We start from the raw sequence: 21,166 nt of genomic DNA on the forward strand, positions 1-21,166 counted from the left end.
GGTCTTGCTATGTTGCCCAGGCTGGTCTTAAACTCCTAGGCTCAAGGGAGGGATTCTCCTCCTTCAGCATCCTGAGTAGCTCGGATCAGGAGCATGCTGCTCTGCCTGGCTTCCATTATTCTAATGGAAGTTCCCAGTGGTTTTACGCAGAGAAGTGACATGATATAATCTATTTTCCAAAATAGTTTCTCCTGACCTCATGCACAGCCCTAAAATGATTGCAGAATGACTTAATTTTCTCTAAATTTAAAACAAGCCCGGAATGGTTTTAAGACCCTCCGTAGAGAATTCTTTCACTCTCCCCCACATTCATTCAATGAAACTCATTTCCTGGTTCCCTTCCCTCCACGAGGGCGCCTACCCTCTGCTGAGCAATCTGGAGACCAGAATCCTGCAGAAATAAGAGTGCTGAAGTTTTAAAATTCCTCTTTCTATCAAGTCCAGTACTTTTATTATCCTTCTGTCACTAAGAATCCACATATCTGCTGGCCACACTGCCCTCCTGGCTGGAGTCATGCATACCCATGGACTTTTTTTTTTTCTGATTTGCAACATTGACACTTGGAAGGACATCTGTAAGTTTTGGCAGCTGGCTCCTCACAGCTTGGAAGCAGGTCTCCTCTCCCAGTGGGGGTCTCCATCTCTGCTGGGACATCTGCAGTGCCTGCTGTTGGGAGCTGCCACACATGGTCTGAGTCGGGGGTCACACAGACTGAAAAGGAAGCTGAGAGAGGGATTGCTTAGCAGGAGACAAGCAGATTTCCCAGGGCCTGGGCCTCCTTGGCTGGTCCCCAGGAGACGAGTTCCAGCTGCTTTTCTTTTTTGCTTCTTCTTCCTCCCCCCACCCCCCTTTCCGGTTTGGGCCCCTTTTCCCTCCCGCCTTCGGCCGACCCGCAGTCCAGACAATATTTCGGGTGGAAAACATCACTGTCAAAAAAGAAGAATCCAGAGGATGAGAAGCTGAAAAGCTGAGGGGGAGCTCCCCTCTTCTGGAAGCCTGTTCCATGGATCTGTCACCTCTTGTCTGGGAAAGATGATGGGGTGCAGCAAACACACTCAGATGTGTGTTCCTGCAACCTGTTAGCCCCTCACTTCCCTGTGCCCCCTCTCCACTTCCCCTTCCCACGCTAATGACTTGCCCCAAGTCTGTGGTGAGCATCCCAACAGATTTATTTTCTTTGCAGTTTCCAAAATAGATGCTTTCAAAGCTTAGAGTTAAAGATACTGGTAGGAAAAGGGATATTGAAGGGAGAGGAGGAAGAGGAAAGAAAGAAGTGGCATTGGAAAGTAGAGCAGGCCAGGCACAGTGGCTCATAGCTGCAATCCCTGCACTTTGAGAGGCCAAGGTGGGTGGATCACTTGAGACCAGGAGTTTGCAACCAGCCTGGGCAACATCATGAGGCCCTGTCTCTACAAAAAAAAATGTTTTTTTAATTAGTTGGGCATAGTGGCAGGCCTGTAGACCCAGCTACTCATGAGGCTGCTGTGGGAGGATCACTTGAACCCACGAGGTTGAGGCTCCAGTGAGCCGTGAGCCATGATTGTGCCACTGCACTTCAGCCTAGGTGACAGAGCTAGACCCTGTCCCAAAAAAACAAAACAAAAAACAACAACAACAAAGACAAGAAAAGTGGAGAAGCTAGTAAGTCAATAAATTGTAATGGTTAAAGACAGGAGCTCCAGATTCACTCAAACCTGGTTTATAATCCTATAACTGCGGCTTATTGACTTGTGAATTAAGGTTGTCTGTTTTAACTTCTCTGAGGCTCTGTTTGCTCATCTGTAAAATGGGCATAATTGTATCTGCTTATCTAAGTTAAAAACTAAGTGAGACTCTTCTTTTCTCTTTTCTTTCTTTTCTTTTTGTTTTTCTTTTTCGAGAAAGAGTCTCCCTCTGTTGCCCAGGCTGGAGTGCAGTAGTGTGATCTCGGCTCAGTGCAACCTCCGCTTCTGGGTTCAAGCTATTCTCCTGCATCAGCCTCCTGAGTAGCTGGGACTACAGGCATGCACCACTACACTTGGCTAATTTTTGTATTTTTAGTAGACAGGGGGTTTCACCATGTTGGCCAGGCTGGACTCGAACTCCTGGCCTCAAGTGATCCACCCCTGTTGGCCTCCCAAAGTGCATTAAACGACACTCTTAATGCAATTATTATCTACTCGAGTAAGTGCTTGATAAACGGTAGCTCTTTATAATGAATATTATTCATGTAAAGGGAACATTGGAATAGCTGTCGGATACTTTCAAAGAAACAAAACCAGGAAACTAGCTATTGAGGAGCTTTGGAAACACAAGCTTTCAGCTGGATGCTGTATGTCTTTTTTTTTTTTTTTTTTTTAACAGACTGAGTCTTACTATGTTGCCCAGGCTCGTCTCAAACTCCTCCTGGCCTAAAATAATCCTCCAAAGTGATGGGATTACAGCATGAGCCAGCCTATTTATGTCTCTTAGGTAATTTTTTTAAATGTTTATGGGTACATAGGTATATATATTTATGGGATACATGAGATATTTTGATCTAGGCATACACTGTATAACAATCACATCAGGGTAAATGGGGTAACCATCACCCCAAGCATATATCATTGCTTTGTGTTACAAACATTCCAATTATACTCTTATAGTTATTTTTAAGTATGCAATAAATTATGGTTTACGGTAATTACCCCATTTTGCTATCAAATACTAGATTTTATTCATGCTTTCAAACTGCATTTGTGTACCCATTAACCATCCCCTCTTCCCCGCTTACATCTGACCACTCATCCCAGCCTCTGGTAACTAACCTTCTACTCTCTATTGCCTTGAGTTCAGTTGTTTTAATTTTTAGCTCCCACAAACAAGTAAGAACATACGAAGTTTGTCTTTCCTGTGCCTGGTTTATTTTACTTAATATAATGACCATCCATGTTGCTACAAATGATAGGACCTTGTTTTTTAATGGCTAAATAGTACTCTAATGTGTATATGTACCACATTTCTTTATCCATTTGTCCATTGATGGACACTTAGGTTGCTTCCACATCTTGACCACTGTGAGTGGTGCTGGCGGTAAGCATGGGAGTGCAGATGTCCCTTTGATATCCTGATTTCCTTTATTTTGGATATATACCTAGCAGTGGAATTGCTGGATCATAGTGTAGTTCTATTTTAGTTTTTTAAGGAACCTTTGACTTGTTCTCCACAGCAATTATACTAATTTACATTGCCACCAACAGTGCATGAGGGTTCCTTTTTCTCCACATCCTCGCCAGCATCTGTTATTGCCCGTCTTTTGGATATAAGCCATTCTAACTAGGGTGAGATGATATCTCATTGTAGTTTTGATTTCCATTTCTTTGATGACTGATGATGTTGAGCAACTTTTCATATACCTGTTTGTCATTTGTATGTCTTCTTTTGAGAAATATCTATTCACATCTTTTGTCCATTTTAAAAATTAGATTATTAGTTTTTTTTCCTATAGAGCTGTTTGAGTTTCATATATAGTCTGGTTAATAAGTCCTTGTCAGAGGGATAGTTTGCAAATATTTTCTCCTATTGTGTGGATTGTCTCTTCACTTTGTTTATTATTTCCTTTGCTGTGCAGAAGCTTTTTAACTCGATATATTCCCATTTGTCCATTTTTGCCTTGGTGGCCTGTGCTTTTTATTACTCAAGATATCTTCGCTCAGACCAATTTCCTGGAGAGTTTCCCCAATGTTTTCTTTTAGTAGTTTCATAGATTCAGGTATTAGATTTAAGTCTTTAATCCATTTTTATTTGATTTTTGTATATGGTGAGAGATAGGGGTCTAGTTTCATTCTTCTGCATATGAATATCCACTTTCCCCAGCACCATTTATTGAAGAGACTATTTTCTCCCCAGTGTATGTTCTTGGCACCATTGTCAAAATTGAGTTCACCATAGATGTATGGATTTATTTCTAGGTTATCTGTTCCGTTCCACTGGTATATGTGTCTGTTTTTACGCCAATACCATGCTGTTTTGGTTACAATAGCTCTGTAGTATAATTTGAAGTCAGGTAATGAAATTCTTCCACTTTCATTCTTTTTGCTCAGGATGGTTTGGCTCTTTTGGGTATTCTGTGGTTTCATAGAAATTTTAAGATTATTTTTTCTATTTCTGTGAAGAATGACATTGGTATTTTGATAAGGATTGCATTGAATCTGTAAATTGCTTTGGGTGGTATGAACATTTTAACAATATTGATTCTTCCAATCCATGAACATAGAATATCTTTCAATTTTTCTGTGTCTTCTTCAATTTCTTTCATTAATCTTTTGTAGTTTTCATTGTAGAGATCTTTCACTTTTTTGGTTAAGTTTATTCCTAGGTATTTTGTTTGTAGCTATTATAAATGAGATTACCTTCTTGATTTCTTTTTTAAATTATTTGCTGTTGGCATATAGAAATACCACTGACTTTTGTATTTTGTATCCTGCAACTAGACTGAATTTTTTTATCAGTTCTAATAGTTTTTTAGTAGAGTCTTTAGGGTTTTCCAAGTATAATATCATCTTTAAACAAGGATAATTTAATGTCTTCCTTTCCAATTTGGAGGTCCTTTATTTCTTTCCCTTGTGTGATTGCGCTAGCTAGGATTTCCAGTACTATGTTGAATAACAGTGGTGAAAGTGGGCATCCTTCCATCAATGATAGACTGGATAAAGAAAATGTATTATATATACACCATGGAATATTATGCGACCATAAAAAGGAATGAGATCATGTCCTTGGTAGAGATATGGATGAAGCTGGAAGCCATCATTCTCAGCAAACTAACACAGGAACAGAAAAGCAAACACCACATGCTTTCATTCATAAGTGGAGTTGAACAATGAGAACACATGGACACTAGGAGGGGAATAACACACACTGGGCCAGTCCAGGGGGTGCGGTGCAGGGAAGGAGAGCACCAGGACAAATAGCTAATGCATGCGGGGCTGAAAACCTAGATGGTGGGTTGATAGGTGCAGCAAACCACCGTGGCACACATATACCTATACAACCTGCACATTCTGCATGTGTATCCCGGAACTTAAAGTAAAACAAAAATTTTTAAAAAATTAAATAAATAAAGTGGGCATCCTTGTCTTGTTCCAGATTTTAGAGGAAAGGCTTTCAGTTTTTTCCTACTCAGTGTGATACTAGTTGTGGGTCTGTCATATATGGCTTTTGTTGTGTTGAGGTATGTTCCTATTATATCTAGTTTCTTTAGGTTTTTTTTTTTTATCATGAAGGGATATTGAATTTTATTAAATGCTTTTTCAGCATCAATTGAAACAATCATATGGTTTTTATTCTTCATTCTGTTGATATGAGGTATCACATTGATTGATTTGCCTATGTTGTACCATCTTTGCATCCCTGGGATAAATCCCCCTTGGTCATAATGAAGATCTTTTTAATGTTTTGTTGAATTTAGTTTGCTAGTATTTTGTTGAGGATTTTTACATCAATGTTCATCAGGGATATTGGCCTATAGTTTTCTTTTTTTGATTGTCCTTGTCTAGTTTTGGTATCAGGATACTACTGGCCTCACAGAATGAGTTTGGAAGTACTCCTCTTCTATTTTTTGGAATAGTTTGAGTAGAGTTGATATAAGTTCTTTAAATGTTTGGTAAAATTCAGCAGTGAAGCCATTGGGTCCTGGTCTTTGCTAGGAGACTTTTTAATACAACTTCAATCTTGTTACTTGTTATGGGTCTGTTCAGGTTTTGGGTTTCTTCATTGTTCAGTCTTGGTAGGTTATATATGTCTAGGAATTTATTCATTTATTCTGTGTTTTCCAGTTTGTTGGCATAGAGTTGCTCATAGTAGCCTCTAATGATCTTTTGAATTTCTGCAGTACTGGTTGTAATGTCTCCTTTTAATATCTCTGATTTCATTTATTTGGATCATCTCTCCATTTTTGTTTTGTTTTGTTTTTGAGACAAGGTCTCACTCTGTCTCCCAGGATGTAATGCAGTGACATGATCACAGTTCACTGCAGACTCCATCTCTCAGGCTCAAGTTATCCTCACATCTTGACCTCCCGAGTAGCTAGGACTACAGACACATGCCACCACAGTCAGCTAGTTTTTTCTACCTTTTGTAGAGACAGGGTCTCACAATGTTTCCCAGACTGTTCTCTATTTTTTTCTTGTTAGTCTGGCTAAAGGTTTGTCAATTTTGTTTATCTTTTCAAAAAAACAACTATTTGTTTCATTAATCTTTTGTATTGTTTTATTTGTTTCAATTTCATTTATTTCTGCTCTGATCTTTATTCTTTCATTTCTTCTACCAACTTTGGGTTTAGTTTGGTCTTGCTTTTTCAATTCATTAAAAAGTATCATTATGTTATTTATTTGAAGTTTTTCCTCTTTTTTAATTTAAGCACTTATAGTTATAAACTTCTTAGTACTACTTTCCCATATCCCAAAGGTTTTGGTATGTTGTATTTCCATTTTCATTTGTTTCAAGAAGTTTTTCAATTTCCTTCTTACTCTCTTCATTGACCTACTGGTCATTCAGGAACATATTGTTTAATTTCCATGTGTTTGTACAGTTTCCAAAATTCCTCTTGTTATTGATTTTTAGTTTTATTCCATTGTGGTCAGAGAAGATGCTTAATATTATTTCAGTTTTTTAAAAATGTTTTAAAACTTGTTTTGTGGGCTAACATATGGTCTATCCTTGAGAATGATCCCTGTGCTGAGGAGAAGAATGTATATGCCACAGCTGTTGAATGAAATATTATGTAAACATCAATTAGGTCCATTTGATCTGTAGTGCAGATTAAGTCCAATGTTTCTTGGTTCATTTTCTGTCTGGATAATCTGTCCAATGCTGAAAGTGGGGGTGGTGAAGTCTTCAGCTATAATTATATCGAGGCCTCTCTCTTGTTTTAGCTCTAATAATATTTGCTTTATATATCTGGGCACTCCAGTATTGGTGCATATGCATTTACAATTGTTATATCATCTTGCTGAATTGACCACTTTATCATTACATAATGACCTTCTTTGTCTCTTTTATAGTTTTTGTCTTGAAATCAATTTTGTTTTATATGTGTTTAGCTACCCTTGCTCCTTTTTAGTTTCCATTGGCATGAAATATCTTTTTCCACCCCTTTATTTTCAGTCTACATGTGACTTTATAGGTGAAGTGTGTTTCTTATAGGCAGGAGATGGCTGGGTCTTGGTTTGCTTTTTTTTTTTTTTTTTTTTTTTTACCAATTCAGTCACTCAATGCCTTTTGATTAGAGAGTTTGGTCCATTTATATTCAATATTATTATTGATAAGTAAGGATCTACTACTGCCATTTAAAAATTTGTTTTCTGGTTGTTCTGGTTGTTTTGTGGTCTTCTCTTCCTTCCTTCCTGTCTTCCTTTTTCTAAAGGTGATTTTCTTTGGTGGTATGTTTTAATTTTTTGCTTTTTATTTTTTGTGTATCTATTGTGGGTTTTTTGATGTCAGGTTACCATGAGTCTTGCAAATAACATCTTATAACCCATTATTTTAAACTGATGACAACTTAACACTGATTGCAAAAACTGACAGACAAGCAAAGAGAAAACCAATAAAAACTCTACACTTTAACTTCATCCTCCAACTTTTAAACTTTTTGTTTCTATTTATATCTTACTATACTTTCTATGTCTTGAAAAGTTGCTGTAGTTATTATTTTTTATAGGTTCATCTTAAAGTCTTTCTATTTGAGATATGAGTACTTTACCACAGTTACAGTGTTATTATATTCTAATTTTCTATATTCTTACTATTACCAGTGAGTTTTGTACCTTCAGATGATTTCATATTGCTCACTAATGTCCTTTTCTTTTAGATTGAAGATCTCCATTTAGCATTTCTTGTAGGACAAGTCTGGTATTGATGAAATCTTTTGGCTTCTGTTTGTCTGGAAAATTCTATTTCTCCTCCACATTTGAAGGATCTTTTCACTGGATATACTATTCTAGGGTGAAAGTCTTTTTCCTTCAGTGTTTTAAATATGTCATACCACCCTCTCCTAGCCTGCAAGGTTTCCAGTGAAGAGTCTGCTGCCAAATGTATCAGAGCTTCTTTTGTGTTATGTGTTTCTTTTCTCTTGATGCTTTTAGGATCTTTACTTTATTCTTGACCTTTGGGAGTTTAGTTATTAAATGTCTAGTTGTAGTCTTATTTTGGTTAATATGTTTGGTGTTCTATAACCTTCTTATACTTATTTGTATATTGATATCTTTCTCTCTGTTTGAGATGTCCTCTGTTATTGTCCCTTTAAATAAACTTTCTGCCCCAGTCTCTGTCTCGACCTCCTCTTTAAGGCTAATAACTCTTAGATTTGCCCTTTTGAGGCTGTTTTGTAGATCTTATAGATGTGCTTCATTTTTTAAATTCTTTTTATTTTGTCTTCTCTGACTATATTTTCAAATAGCCTATCTTTAAGCTAATCTTTTCTTCTACTTGATCAATTCTACTGTTGAGAGACTGATACATTCTTTAGTATGTCAATTGAATTTTTCAGCTCCATTGTTTCTACTTAATTTTTTAAAATTATGTCGACCTCTTTGTAAATTTATCTGATAGGATTTTGAATTCCTTCTTTGTGTTATCTTGAATTTCACTGAGCTTCCTCAAAAAAGCTATTTTGAATTTTTTGTCTGAAAATTCACATATTTCTGTTTCTCCCAGATTGGCCACTGGTGCCTGATTTAGTTCATTTGGGGAGGTCATGTTTTCCTGGATAATCTTGATGCTTGTGGATGTTTGCTGATGTTTGGGCATTGAAGAGTTAGGTATTTATTACAGTCTTCACAGTCTGGGTTTGTTTGTATCCATCCTTCTTGAGAAGGCTTTTCAAGTATTCAAAGGGTCCAGGAATGGTGGTTCATGCCTGTAATCCTAGCATTTTGGAAGGTCAAGAAGGGAAGATGGCTTGAGTTCAGGAGTTTGACACCAGGCTGGGCAACATGGCGAAACTGTCTCTGCAAAAAAATTGTTTTTAAATTAGCCAGGCACAGTGGCACGTTGTCTGTGTTCCTAGCTACTTGGAAGGCTGGAGTGGGAAGATCACTTGAGCCTAGGGTTCGGGCTGCAGTGAGCTAATGTTCATGCCACTGCCCTCCAGCCTAGGCAACAGGGCGAGACCCTGTCTCAAAAAAAATAAAATAAAACATTTTTTAAAAAGTATTCAAAGGGAATACTTGGGTGTTGTGATCTACATCTTTGGTCACTGTAGCAGTATCTGCATTAGAGGGCAACCCAAGCCCAGTAACACTGTGACTCTTGCAGACTCGTAGAGGCACCGCCTTGGTGGTCTTTGGTAAGATGAAAGAGAATTCTCTGGATTACCAGGCAGCGACTGTTATTCTCTTCCTTTACTTTCCTCCAAACAGAGTCTTTTTCTCCATGCTCAGCTGCCTGGAGCTGGAGGAGGGGTGATACTAGCCACCACCCCTGGGCCTGCGCTGGGTCAGACTTGAAGCCAGCACAGCACTGGGTCTCACCAACACCTGCAGTGACTACTTCCTGGCTACTGACAAGGTTCACTCAAGGCCCAAGGGCTCTTCAGTCACAGGTGGGCCCAGAAATGCCATCTGGAAGCCAGAGCCTAGAGTCAGGAACTTAAGTATGTCGTTTAAAATCAGCTATGATAGCTTCCCAGGGGCTCTGATATTAGGTGTGAAGTAGAAAAGGTGAGTAGATAAGTTTATCCCCATTTCACAGATGAAGAAATTAAGGGCCATTATCATAAGATAATGAATGTGCACGAGAGTGTTTCTGGTTGTTTGTTGCCACACAAGCTGATAAACAAAGGAGCAGTACCCAAACCCAAGGCATCTCAACTCTTCAGTGTTCTCCCCACTGAGGAAAGAGGAAGGAAAACTTGCCTAACGTGTGAAGAGAGATCTCCCAAATTTAGGCAGATGGGAGAAAGCCTTAGGGATGAGCTTGATGGTTTATCTGGGTATATCCTCAAGCCTCAGAGGGCTGTGAGAAGAGGGGAACAGACTGGAAAGGGTAAGGCCAATTCAGTGTCTCCAAAAGTAGTGTCTGAAGATTGTAGCTGTAGGGTTAGTAGATTTAAAATGAGAGGTAAATATAATCTAAAAACAAAGCAAATAAAATGATGGAAATATCTCCCCAATGGCAGTCCTTTTGAAGGTGAGTCATGTTTAGAAACAGAGACCATTTCTAATAACATAAAATTAGGGGGTTGTGTTTTATAATCCCCCAAAGCTAAAGAATTTTATTCCTTCCTTTCAAGCACTGGAAATAATGGCTTGGATTCCAACCAGGAAGACCACATAACTAGTTCTGGATCCCAATCAGTGATTTTTCCAGTAAGAACAAGAGAATCAAACTGAGTGTGGGTTACTTGCTGAAAATAAACATAAATCAGAAATGAGACTTAGGAAGATGCCAGAATTATGCAAGCTGCACATCTGGTCCTACATTCTCTTTGGAAGGTTTCTGAGCAACACTTTTTTTTTTCTTTAAATCTCAATCTGTTCTTGTAGTGGATCCTTCCGAGTTTTGAAGAAAATTAAAACTGATATTTTCTTTAGGGTAGCTGCCTGCTTGCTTGGATATATTGCAATCACCTTATACTCAACATGTCCAAAGATAAAAAATAGAAGTCATCGTGTCCCCTGACAGATATGTTTATCCTCCTCTATTCCATGTCTCAGAAGTAGCACTCCCTGCCAACCCATCACCTAAACCAGAAGCCTGGGTGTCCTCCTTGGGTGCTCTTTTTCTCATGCTAATTTTCCCATAGGTCACTAAGTTCCATCAAGTCTGCATCCAAAACCTTTTTCAAATTCCTCCACTTCTCTCCATCTCTTCTTGCCCTCATCTAGTTCGGGACTCCATCTTCGCTCACCTGGATTGCTATGTATTAGCCATGAAGGCCTCAACTCCCAGCTACTAGATTGCCTAGACTTGGCCCCAGCCCAGGCCTCCACAACCGACATTTCTACAGCACTCCATGGTAATAAGCTACTCTACCAGACTTCTCCCATTCCGTTGCACAGTCTAGCGCGAGGGCCAAGAGAAAGGAATGCTGTGAGCCCAGCCAAGGAAAAGGACTTGAGGAGTTAAGCAAAGGTCATACCAGTGACCCAAGAGATGAGCAGGCAGGTCACCCTGGTTATGCACCTCGACTCTGCAGCCTTTTAGCACGTACTTCACTGCATTGTAATTGTTTTTTTATATTGTGATAAAATAAACATAAATAAAATTTATCATTTTAATTATTTTTAAGTGTATAGTTCAGTGGCATTAAGTACATTCACAGTGTTGTGCCACCATCATCACCATCCGTCTCTGGAACCTTTTCATCTCCTTAAACTGAAACTCCCTAGCATTAAATAATAACTCCCCATTCTTCTCGCTCCTCAGCCACAGGCTACCACCATTCTATTTTCTGTCTGTATGAACTTGACCACTCTCTATGTACCTCACATAAGTGGAATTATAAAGTATTTGTCCTTTTGAGTCTGGGTTATTTCACTTAGCATAAGTCTTTAAGGTTCATCTATGTGGTAGTATATGTCCGCATTTCCTTCTTCTTCTTCCTTTTTTTGGAGACAGAATCTCCTTCTCTCGCCCAGGCTGGAGTGCAGTGGTGCCATCACAGCTCACTGTAGCCTCAAACTCCTGGGCACAAGTGATCCTCCCACTTCAACCTCCCAAGTAGCTGGGACTATAGATGCACAACCATCACACCTAGCTAATTTGTTGTTGGTGGTGGTGGTGGTAGAGACAGGGGTCTCACTATGTTGCAAAGGCTGGTCTCAAACTCCTGGACTCAAGTGATCCTCTCACCTCAGCCTCCCAAAGTACTGGGATTATAGGCATGAGCCACTGCACTTGGCCGTTTGTGTGGAATAACCAACCTCTCTTCATTCTCCCCTCCCACCCACACACCCTTCCCAGCCGCTGGTAAGGATCATTCTCCTCTCTAGCTCCAAAGACTGTCTTAACACGAATACTTGTTGAATAACTGATCATTAACCCCAGTAAAAAGAATTCTGTAAGAGAATGAAAATTAAGAAGATAAAAGATGGGGAGGATAGGAGGGATTTTGGGCCCTCAAAAGGTTTATTTATATCCTGCTAAATGTACAAAGCTTTGATGCAGATCTTAAACAGATGAGAGGGCAGACAGAGGGCTCCACAGGGAAGATTTATCACTCATGGTTGAACTCACAGCCTCTGGAGCCAGACTACCAGGATTCATGTCTTAGTTCTCTTTATCCCTTCCTGAGTGTGAGACCTCCAGCATGTTATTTAACCTCTCTCTGTAAAGTGGTACATAGCTCATAGCATTATTGTGAGGTTTAAATGAGTCAACACAGGCAAAACACTTAGAATAGCGCCTGACACATAGTATGCACTCAGTAAATGCAACTCTATTAATAAAATTAGAATTGGATAAAGATTAGATTTAGAGTATGAATTAAATTAGAAATATCTCAAGAAAGTGTATTAGGATGCTGGGCTGTCCACACTCTCACACAGCCCTTTTGGTTGGGAAAGTAAGTTGACATTTTTTAAGCACCAACTTTGTGTCAGACTTGAGGATCATTATTACAGATTATTCACATTTCAGAGGTATGGAAAATGTGGACAGAAATGTTTAATTACTTGCCCAAGATTATACATTTACCAAGGGTTAAGCCTAGTCTCAAATTTAGTTTCAAAGGAAAATGGGTAATGGGTAAAGTAGAGGGACATAATATCCCAGTTGCATCCAAAGGAGACCCTAATGTGGGGGCTTGGAGACTTTCAAGATGAGGGGGCAAAGCCTTGTGAACCATTCCTAAGGAAGGAAAGGAGAGCTGCTCATCCTGGGACATTTTCCACGGGCTTGTTCTACAAAAGAACTTTCCCGAGGACATGGATGTCCTAGGTCCATGTGTATTGTAACCTCAGGGGCAGGAATTGGGACTGTATACCCTCATGGCAGAGGCTGACAGTTGCTATCCCTATATTCATTCTTCCCTTTTTTCCTCAGTAATGAAACTGGTTTTTATCAGGGCACATGACTACCTAGAATAAAGACCACCTTTCCCACATTCTCCTTTGGAGCCTGGTGTCTCCATAATTATATTCTGGTCAATGAGGTATTAAAGTGCTGTGTGGCAACTTCTGAGAAATCTTCTTAAAAGCAAATGATGTGAGATTTTGGCCTCCTCCTTTGTCACTTATTTGTCCCCTCCAGATGTGTGGCTAGGGCTCCAGCTGCCATCTTGGAAACTGGAGGACCACAACATAGGGATGTTGGAGCAGAGAGCTGAGAGGAGCCAGTGCTGTGGAGCTATTCCTGCCCTCAGCCATCTGCATCAGGGGTTCTTTTAAGTGGGAGAGAAATGAGCTTTATCTTGCTTAAGCCACTATTAATTTAGATTTAGGCCAGGCGCGGTGGCTCACACCGATAATCCCAGCACTTTGGGAGGCTGAGGCAGGTGGATCACCTGAGGTCAGAAGTGCAAGACCAGCCTGGCCAACATGGTGAAACCCCGTCTCTACTTAAAATACAAAAATTAGCCGGGCGTGGTGGCAGGCGCCTGTAATCCCAGCTACTTGGGAGGCTGAGGCAGGAGAATCATTTGAACATAGGAGGCAGAGGTTGCAGTGAGCCAAGATCAAGCCATCGCACTCCAGCCTGGGTGACAAGAGCAAAACTCCGTCTCAAAAAAAAAAAAAAATTATCTTGTCTTTTCTGTTAACTGAATTAACACTCATGCCCCTGGTTAATACAATCCCACTTCTGATGTATGCACACTTGGGCCTGCCTGTGCTGTGACCCAGGTTGAAGAGACCAGTGTCCTGAAGCAGAGCACCATCCCTTGCTCTACCACCCAGAGGGAGAGAAGAGTCCAGCCTCAGTTCCCAGTAGGGCTTCTTAGCTCTGCATATCTTTCAGCATCTTCTATTAGACAAAGACTGGTAGCCATGGTATCAACAACTTTATTTGTCTGTCTACTTAGAAAGTAAACTATGTAAACCTAATCATTGTAGCTCTGTTGGTTAAACAGTGATATGAATATGATATTATTCATAAAACTGAAAAAATGTTAATACATGAGTACAATTTTTTAGCTTTAATCTATACCTGATTTTCCCCTTGAAAAATAAATATAATTTGTTTCAGTGGTTAATTGTTATAAACAACCCTGTAACCATTTGTTTGTTCATTTATTCATTCAAAATATAGTGATTCAGCCTGGGAGCAATGGCTCACACCTATAATCCCAGCACTTTGGGAGGCCAAGGCAGGAGGATTGCTTGAGCCCAGGAGTTCAAGACCAGCCTGGGCAATATAGTGAGACCTCATATCTATAAAAAAATTTAAAAATTAGCCATGTGTGGTGGCACATGCCTATAGTCCCAGCTACTCAGGAGGCTGAGATGGGAGGATCACTTGAGCTCGACAGGCAGGGGTTGCAGTATGCTAGGATCACACCACTGCACTCCAGCCTGGGCGACATAGCAAGACCCTGTCTCAAAGAAAGCAAAGTAACAAAACCCCAAAAAGCAGTGATTTATTCTTCCATTCAACAAGACATTAGTATTTTCAAGTAAAACATTTTTAAAAAAAACACAAACACAGGCATGTTAAATGTTATCTAGCATCATGGGCAGAGTTCTACTTAACACTTGTTTAAAAAAGTTCTAGTTGTTAAGTAGAACCCTGCCCATCATGCTAGATAACCAGGGAATAAAAATGCAGAAACCTCAGCCCCTGGCAGTTCAGGAAATATACAGCTTTGCTGAGAACAGAAAAATAATATCCAGGGAAGGAACTACAGCTTATAATCAAGTCTGGACTGGGATTTTTCTTGTTAAAGGCTATTCAAACACTGGGCATATTATATATATATATATATACGTATATATATACGTATATATATATATGAAGACTCCATTAAAATAAATGAAGTAGCTGCCCATGAGGAGGAAAAAAGGAGAGCTGGTGGGTTGAACTTGAGGAACAGACCTCTTCAAACTCACCTCTAACGTGCTTATCTCACTTACTGAAAATTCTCAGCCATTTTAATGTTTCATCCCTCAAATGTCTCTGCTCCAGGAATCTTGCTTTCCCCTCTTCTGGCTGAAACATAAGCCGCTTAGGGCTAAGATCTTACTGCATAAAATTAGGTGTGCGCAGGAGAGGGCTGACTAAATAATTTCTAAAATGATCTGAAATTCACAAATAACTATCATTTATTTCAGCACAAACGATTATGCCAGATAGTTGGCACTCATTGTCTCACTTAATTCTTATAACAACTGTGAGAGATACACACTCTTATTATGTCCATTTTTCAGATCAAGAAACAAGACATGGAGAGTTCAATGTCAAGCCAAATTTCCAAAGAATTGGCAGAATCCAGGACTGTCAGAGTGTAAACCTGTGTTCTTAGCACCTATGTGTTTAGCTCATGTGCTATCCTCTCAAAACCTTCTTCCACCTATCTCTCTCTCACACAGCATTGTTAGCCCCTTTGTCACACTTACCCATTCTCCTTGTTCTATAACATTTATAGAAATGTCTTTCCAAAATATGAATTCCTTAGAAGAGGAACTATATTTTGACCGTCTTTATAACACTCTCTGCTTAGAACACAGGACCCGGCATACAGTAGGTGCTCATATGTTTAGGTAATTAACTATACCAGTCACCAAAAACTTATCATTTTAATTAAAAGTGTATAGGCAGGTTCAAGCGATTCTCCTGCCTCAGCCTCTCAAGTAGCTGGGATTACAGACACACACCGCCACACCTGGCTAATTTTTGTATTTTTAGTAGAGACGGGGTTTCACCATGTTAGCCAGGCTGGTCTCGAACTCCTGACCTCAAGTGATCCATCCACTTTGGCCTCCCAAAGTGCTCGGATTACAGTCATGAGCCACTGCACCCGGACTGTACTAGGTCTTTTAAAGGACACAAAGATAGTTAAGGCATAGTTCTGTTCCTCTGGAGCCTGAAGTTTAGGAGACAAGACTGACACATAAGCAAATTACTTGGCCACAAAGCTGACTGTGATAAGGGGTAATACCCCGGGGACATAAATGTAGCATTTCATTGAATTAGATCCCATCCACTGGAAGATACATAATTATTCTAAGCATTACTAAGAAATAAAAGTTGATGCTAATTAAACTATGCTCACTATTGATTAGAAGATGCATCTTTATTGCAGAGATGTTAAAATGTTTTAAAAAGATGCCTCTTGAATGAAGTACTACTAATACATGCTACAATATTGATAAATCTTGAAAACATTATGCTAAATGAAAGAAGCCAGACAAAAATGGTCACATATAGTCTGATTCTGTTTGTATGAAGTATCCCGAATAGGCAAATCTATAGAGACAGAAAGTAGATGAGTGGTTGTTAGGGCTAGGGAAGATGGAGGAACTAGTGGGTGACAGCTAAAGGGCACGAGATTTCTTTTTAGGGTGATGAAAATATTCTAGAATTGATTGTGGGAATTGTTGCACAACTCTGTGACTTCTACCATTACATTGTGCACATTAAATAGGTGAATTTTATAATATGTGAATAGTAGCTCAATACAGTAGTTCTCCCTTATCCATCCATGGTTTCACTTTCCAAGTTTTCAGTTACCCCATGGTCAACTGTGGTCTGAGTGAGCACAGCACAATAACATATTTTGAGAGAGAGACCACATTCACATAGTTTTTTTTTTTTTTTTTTTTTTTTTTAATTCCTTTTTTTTTTTTTATTATACTTTAAGTTTTAGGGTACATGTGCACATTGTGCAGGTTAGTTACATATGTATACATGTGCCATGCTGGTGCGCTGCACCCACTAACTCGTCATCTAGCATTAGGTATATCTCCCAATGCTACCCCTCCCCCCTCCCCCCACCCCACCACAGTCCCCAGAGTGTGATATTCCCCTTCCTGTGACCATGTGATCTCATTGTTCAATTCCCACCTATGAGTGAGAATATGCGGTGTTTGGTTTTTTGTTCTTGCGATAGTTTACTGAGAATGATGGTTTCCAATTTCATCCATGTCCCTACAAAGGACATGAACTCATCCTTTTTTATGGCTGCATAGTATTCCATGGTGTATATGTGCCACATTTTCTTAATCCAGTCTATCATTGTTGGACATTTGGGTTGGTTCCAAGTCTTTGCTATTGTGAATAATGCCGCAATAAACATACGTGTGCATGTGTCTTTATAGCAGCATGATTTATAGTCATTTGGGTATATACCCAGTAATGGGATGGCTGGGTCAAATGGTATTTCTAGTTCTAGATCCCTGAGGAATCGCCACAATGACTTCCACAATGGTTGAACTAGTTTACAGTCCCACCAACAGTGTAAAAGTGTTCCTATTTCTCCACATCCTCTCCAGCACCTGTTGTTTCCTGACTTTTTAATGATTGCCATTCTAACTGGTGTGAGATGGTATCTCATAGTGGTTTTGATTTGCATTTCTCTGATGGCCAGTGATGATGAGCATTTTTTCATGTATTTTTTGGCTGCATAAATGTCTTCTTTTGAGAAGTGTCTGTTCATGTCCTTCGCCCACTTTTTGATGGGGTTGTTTGTTTTTTTCTTGTAAATTTGTTTGAGTTCATTGTAGATTCTGGATATTAGCCCTTTGTCAGATGAGTAGGTTGCGAAAATTTTCTCCCATGTTGTAGGTTGCCTGTTCACTCTGATGGTAGTTTCTTTTGCTGTGCAGAAGCTCTTTAGTTTAATTAGATCCCATTTGTCAATTTTGGCTTTTGTTGCCATTGCTTTTGGTGTTTTGGTCATGAAGTCCTTGCCCACGCCTATGTCCTGAATGGTAATGCCTAGGTTTTCTTCTAGGGTTTTTATGGTTTTAGGTCTAACGTTTAAATCTTTAATCCATCTTGAATTGATTTTTGTATAAGGTGTAAGGAAGGGATCCAGTTTCAGCTTTCTACATATGGCTAGCCAGTTTTCCCAGCACCATTTATTAAATAGGGAATCCTTTCCCCATTGCTTGTTTTTCTCAGGTTTGTCAAAGATCAGATAGTTGTAGGTATGCGGCGTTATTTCTGAGGGCTCTGTTCTGTTCCATTGATGTATATCTCTGTTTTGGTACCAGTACCATGCTGTTTTGGTTACTGTAGCCTTGTAGTATAGTTTGAAGTCAGGTAGGGTGATGCCTCCAGCTTTGTTCTTTTGGCTTAGGACTGTCTTGGCAATGTGGGCTCTTTTTTGGTTCCATATGAACTTTAAAGTAGTGTTTTCCAATTCTGTGAAGAAAGTCATTGGTAGCTTGATGGGGATGGCATTGAATCTGTAAATTACCTTGGGCAGTATGGCCATTTTCACGATATTGATTCTTCCTACCCATGAGCATGGAATGTCAACTGTGGTCTGAGTGAGCACAGCACAATAACATATTTTGAGAGAGACCACATTCACATAGTTTTTTTTTTTTTTTTTTTTTTTTGAGACAGAGTCTCTCTCTGTTGCCCAGCCTGGAGTGCAGTGGCGCGATCTCAGCTCACTGCAACCTCTGCCTCCCGGGTTCGAGCGATTCTCCTGCCTCAGCCTCCTGAGTAGCTAGGACTACAGGTACATGCCACCATGCCTGGCTAATTTTTTGTATTTTTAGTAGAGATGAGGTTTCACCATGTTGGCCAGGATGGTCTCGATCTCTTGACCTCGTGATCTGCCCACCTCGGCCTCCCAAAGTGTTGGGATTACAGGCGTGAGCCACCGTGCCCAGCATTCACATAACTATTATTATAGTATATTGTTATAATTATTCTATTGTTATTAATCTCTTACTGTGCCTAGTTTATAAGTGAAACTTTATCATAGGTATGTACATAGGTATGCATAGGATAAAAACATAATGCATATGAGGTTTAGTGCCATCTGTGGTTTCAGGCATCCACTGGGGGTCTTGGAACACATCCCCTGCAGATAAAAGGGGACTACAGTATAGCTGTAATAAGAGAACTCTGCCACTTAGAGTCAAGAAAATATGAGAATACACCTTCTAGATAGCCATAAAAATAAATCAAAATAAAAAATATATAAGAATAGCGTAATGGGAGTGCGGGGGCTGGGAGAGAGACTAAGTCAGGTAGGTAGGGATCTAGAAAGCTTTTTGGAGTGGGCACAGACACACAATATGTGCCATACAGACATAGGAAAGTGGATAGGAAAAGGGGATCTGGCAGAGGTAGCAGCTTAAGCAAAGCCCGGAGGCAAGAGAGCTGGATGATGTCTAAGCAGAAGCTGAAGGAAAGGAGCTGTGGTGGAAGGGGAGGCTGGAGAGGCAGGCTCGCACACACCGAGGAGCGCACCCATGCCAGGCTACAGGCTGCAGCTTTTCAACAGGTCAAGAAAAGCCCTGACATTTCCCCAAGTGCCAGTCTTTAAAACTTTGGCAACTCCATATACAAAGGAAATGTATTATGAAGGCTTCTTCTAGTCACAGGGCACTGTTACTGACCCAGCAGGCAGTAAAATCCCCTTTGGAACTTGAAGCCAGATGACAAAAAGGTTAGAAAGGCAAAGGGCATTGTCACCGGAAGCACGGTGTTTAAACAGACGCTGGGAAAAACTAGGGTTTCTGACAGTGAGCCAAGAAATTCCAAAGGTCACGTCAGCAGAGCCAGGAAGTGGAAAGAAAGAAGTCATCGCCATGCTAGGAGCCACACAGGAGGAATCAGAGTCACACTTTCTACTCCAAAGGGATTGAAAACTGAGAGTAAAATGAAATGGGGATGGGGAAGGATGCAGAGTGAGGGAAGGAAAACAACTGCCACGCCAGCCTGAGGGAGGCCAGCCTCATTCCAGAAGGAGTTCTTGGGCTCAAAATGCTGTGGTTTGGGAGCTGAAGCCTGAATTTGCCTGCCCTGCACTAAGCAGCATGAGCCTGGTGCCAACGGGAACGGCAAGGTACATAGGAGGTAGGGACGGGGATTGGAAAGGCAGGCTCCCTGGACAACTCTCCTAAGTCCTTCAGGGAGGGAGTTGAGCCGGGGACCTTGGGCTCGCCTACTGGGCAGGGGACAAGGGCAGCCCCCTGGGTGCTCTTCTCCTGTTCTTAGGAAGAGGATTCCAGGCAGCTCTGCTAATTCATCCCAGCTCCAAAGCAGGCAGTGGATGTGTGGAGCAGTGGAAGGGCTGGAGACTGTATGGCAGCTGAGACCAACCCCTATAATCAATAGAAGAAAATGACCAGGCTCTCATCTGGGTCTCTGTTCTTTACTTATCTCTTCAGTTTCCAGTAGAGCTTTGGAAGTTTTAAGTGAGACGATCTCTCAACTTAAATGATATAAACATCGTAGTCCACTGTTATCCTTTCCAAAAATGCTGACACAGTTCCCAAGATGTACAGAGTACTGTGAACTGTGAAAGTTTGCTTCAGAGGACGTGTCCTTTCATGTAGAAGAATACTGTGCAGGCTACTCAATACAGAGCACAGTGGCAGGCCCCAAAATAAATAAAGAAATAAAGTGAGCTATTGGCGATGTGTGCTAAATTGAATTGACGTGTTTATTTGCCTGGAGTGTAAGCCCACCCACTCCCACAAAGGGCTGGAGGCCCCTGAATTGCAGTTTGTGCCTGTTAATACTCACAGCCTTTGGAGATTCAGTACTGAGGGACGTCATGCAGTCTGGCTTTTTCCAAACAAAACCTGAAACCTTCTCCTCTGGGTCTACCCATAAAGAGCAGTTACAGGAAGAACTGCTTGGCCAGTCCTGTGGATCTGATAAGACTCTTGTTTTCTTCCTTAGGGTTGAAGGAGGCCTGTACCCTGCCTCTTCCTGGATCCACGCTCAGCTCTCCTTTTCTCAGCCCAAAGGCTGTGGCACCTGGGCACTGGGTCCAGTAGGGCAGGATGGGGCAGAGGAGACTTAGTCTGGAAGGGCTATGGGCTTTTTTTAAAGTAGTGTGACTGAAAGTGGGCATTTCCTGTCAAAATGGAACGTAGAGCTGAATGTGGGCTTGGGGAATGCCTGGGAATTCATTTGGGCTCAGCCCTAGAAGAAAAGCATAAGGACTTCCTTGCTCAGAGTTGCTGATTCTGTAAGGTCTGGGATCAGTGCAGGAAACTGCATATTGAAAAGCATCCTGGATCACACTTCTGATTAAGAATGTTGAAACAGGGCCAGGTGTAGTAGCTGACGCCTATAATC

The 21,166-nt window shown here is 40.5% G+C and overlaps 1 long non-coding RNA gene across 1 annotated transcript; it reads right to left on the minus strand.

Moving 5' to 3' along the window:
* Positions 1-422: 422 nt before the first annotated feature.
* Positions 423-20,674, minus strand: LOC124900719 (uncharacterized). The gene is made up of 2 exons (XR_007058150.1): positions 20,606-20,674; positions 423-724 (listed from the first exon to the last, which is right to left on the minus strand). It is a non-coding gene; the product is annotated as an uncharacterized LOC124900719 (long non-coding RNA).
* Positions 20,675-21,166: the final 492 nt, after the last annotated feature.

This window comes from Homo sapiens, chromosome 4 (genome assembly GCF_000001405.40).
Source record: "Homo sapiens chromosome 4, GRCh38.p14 Primary Assembly".
Classification (NCBI taxonomy): Eukaryota; Metazoa; Chordata; class Mammalia; order Primates; family Hominidae; genus Homo; species Homo sapiens.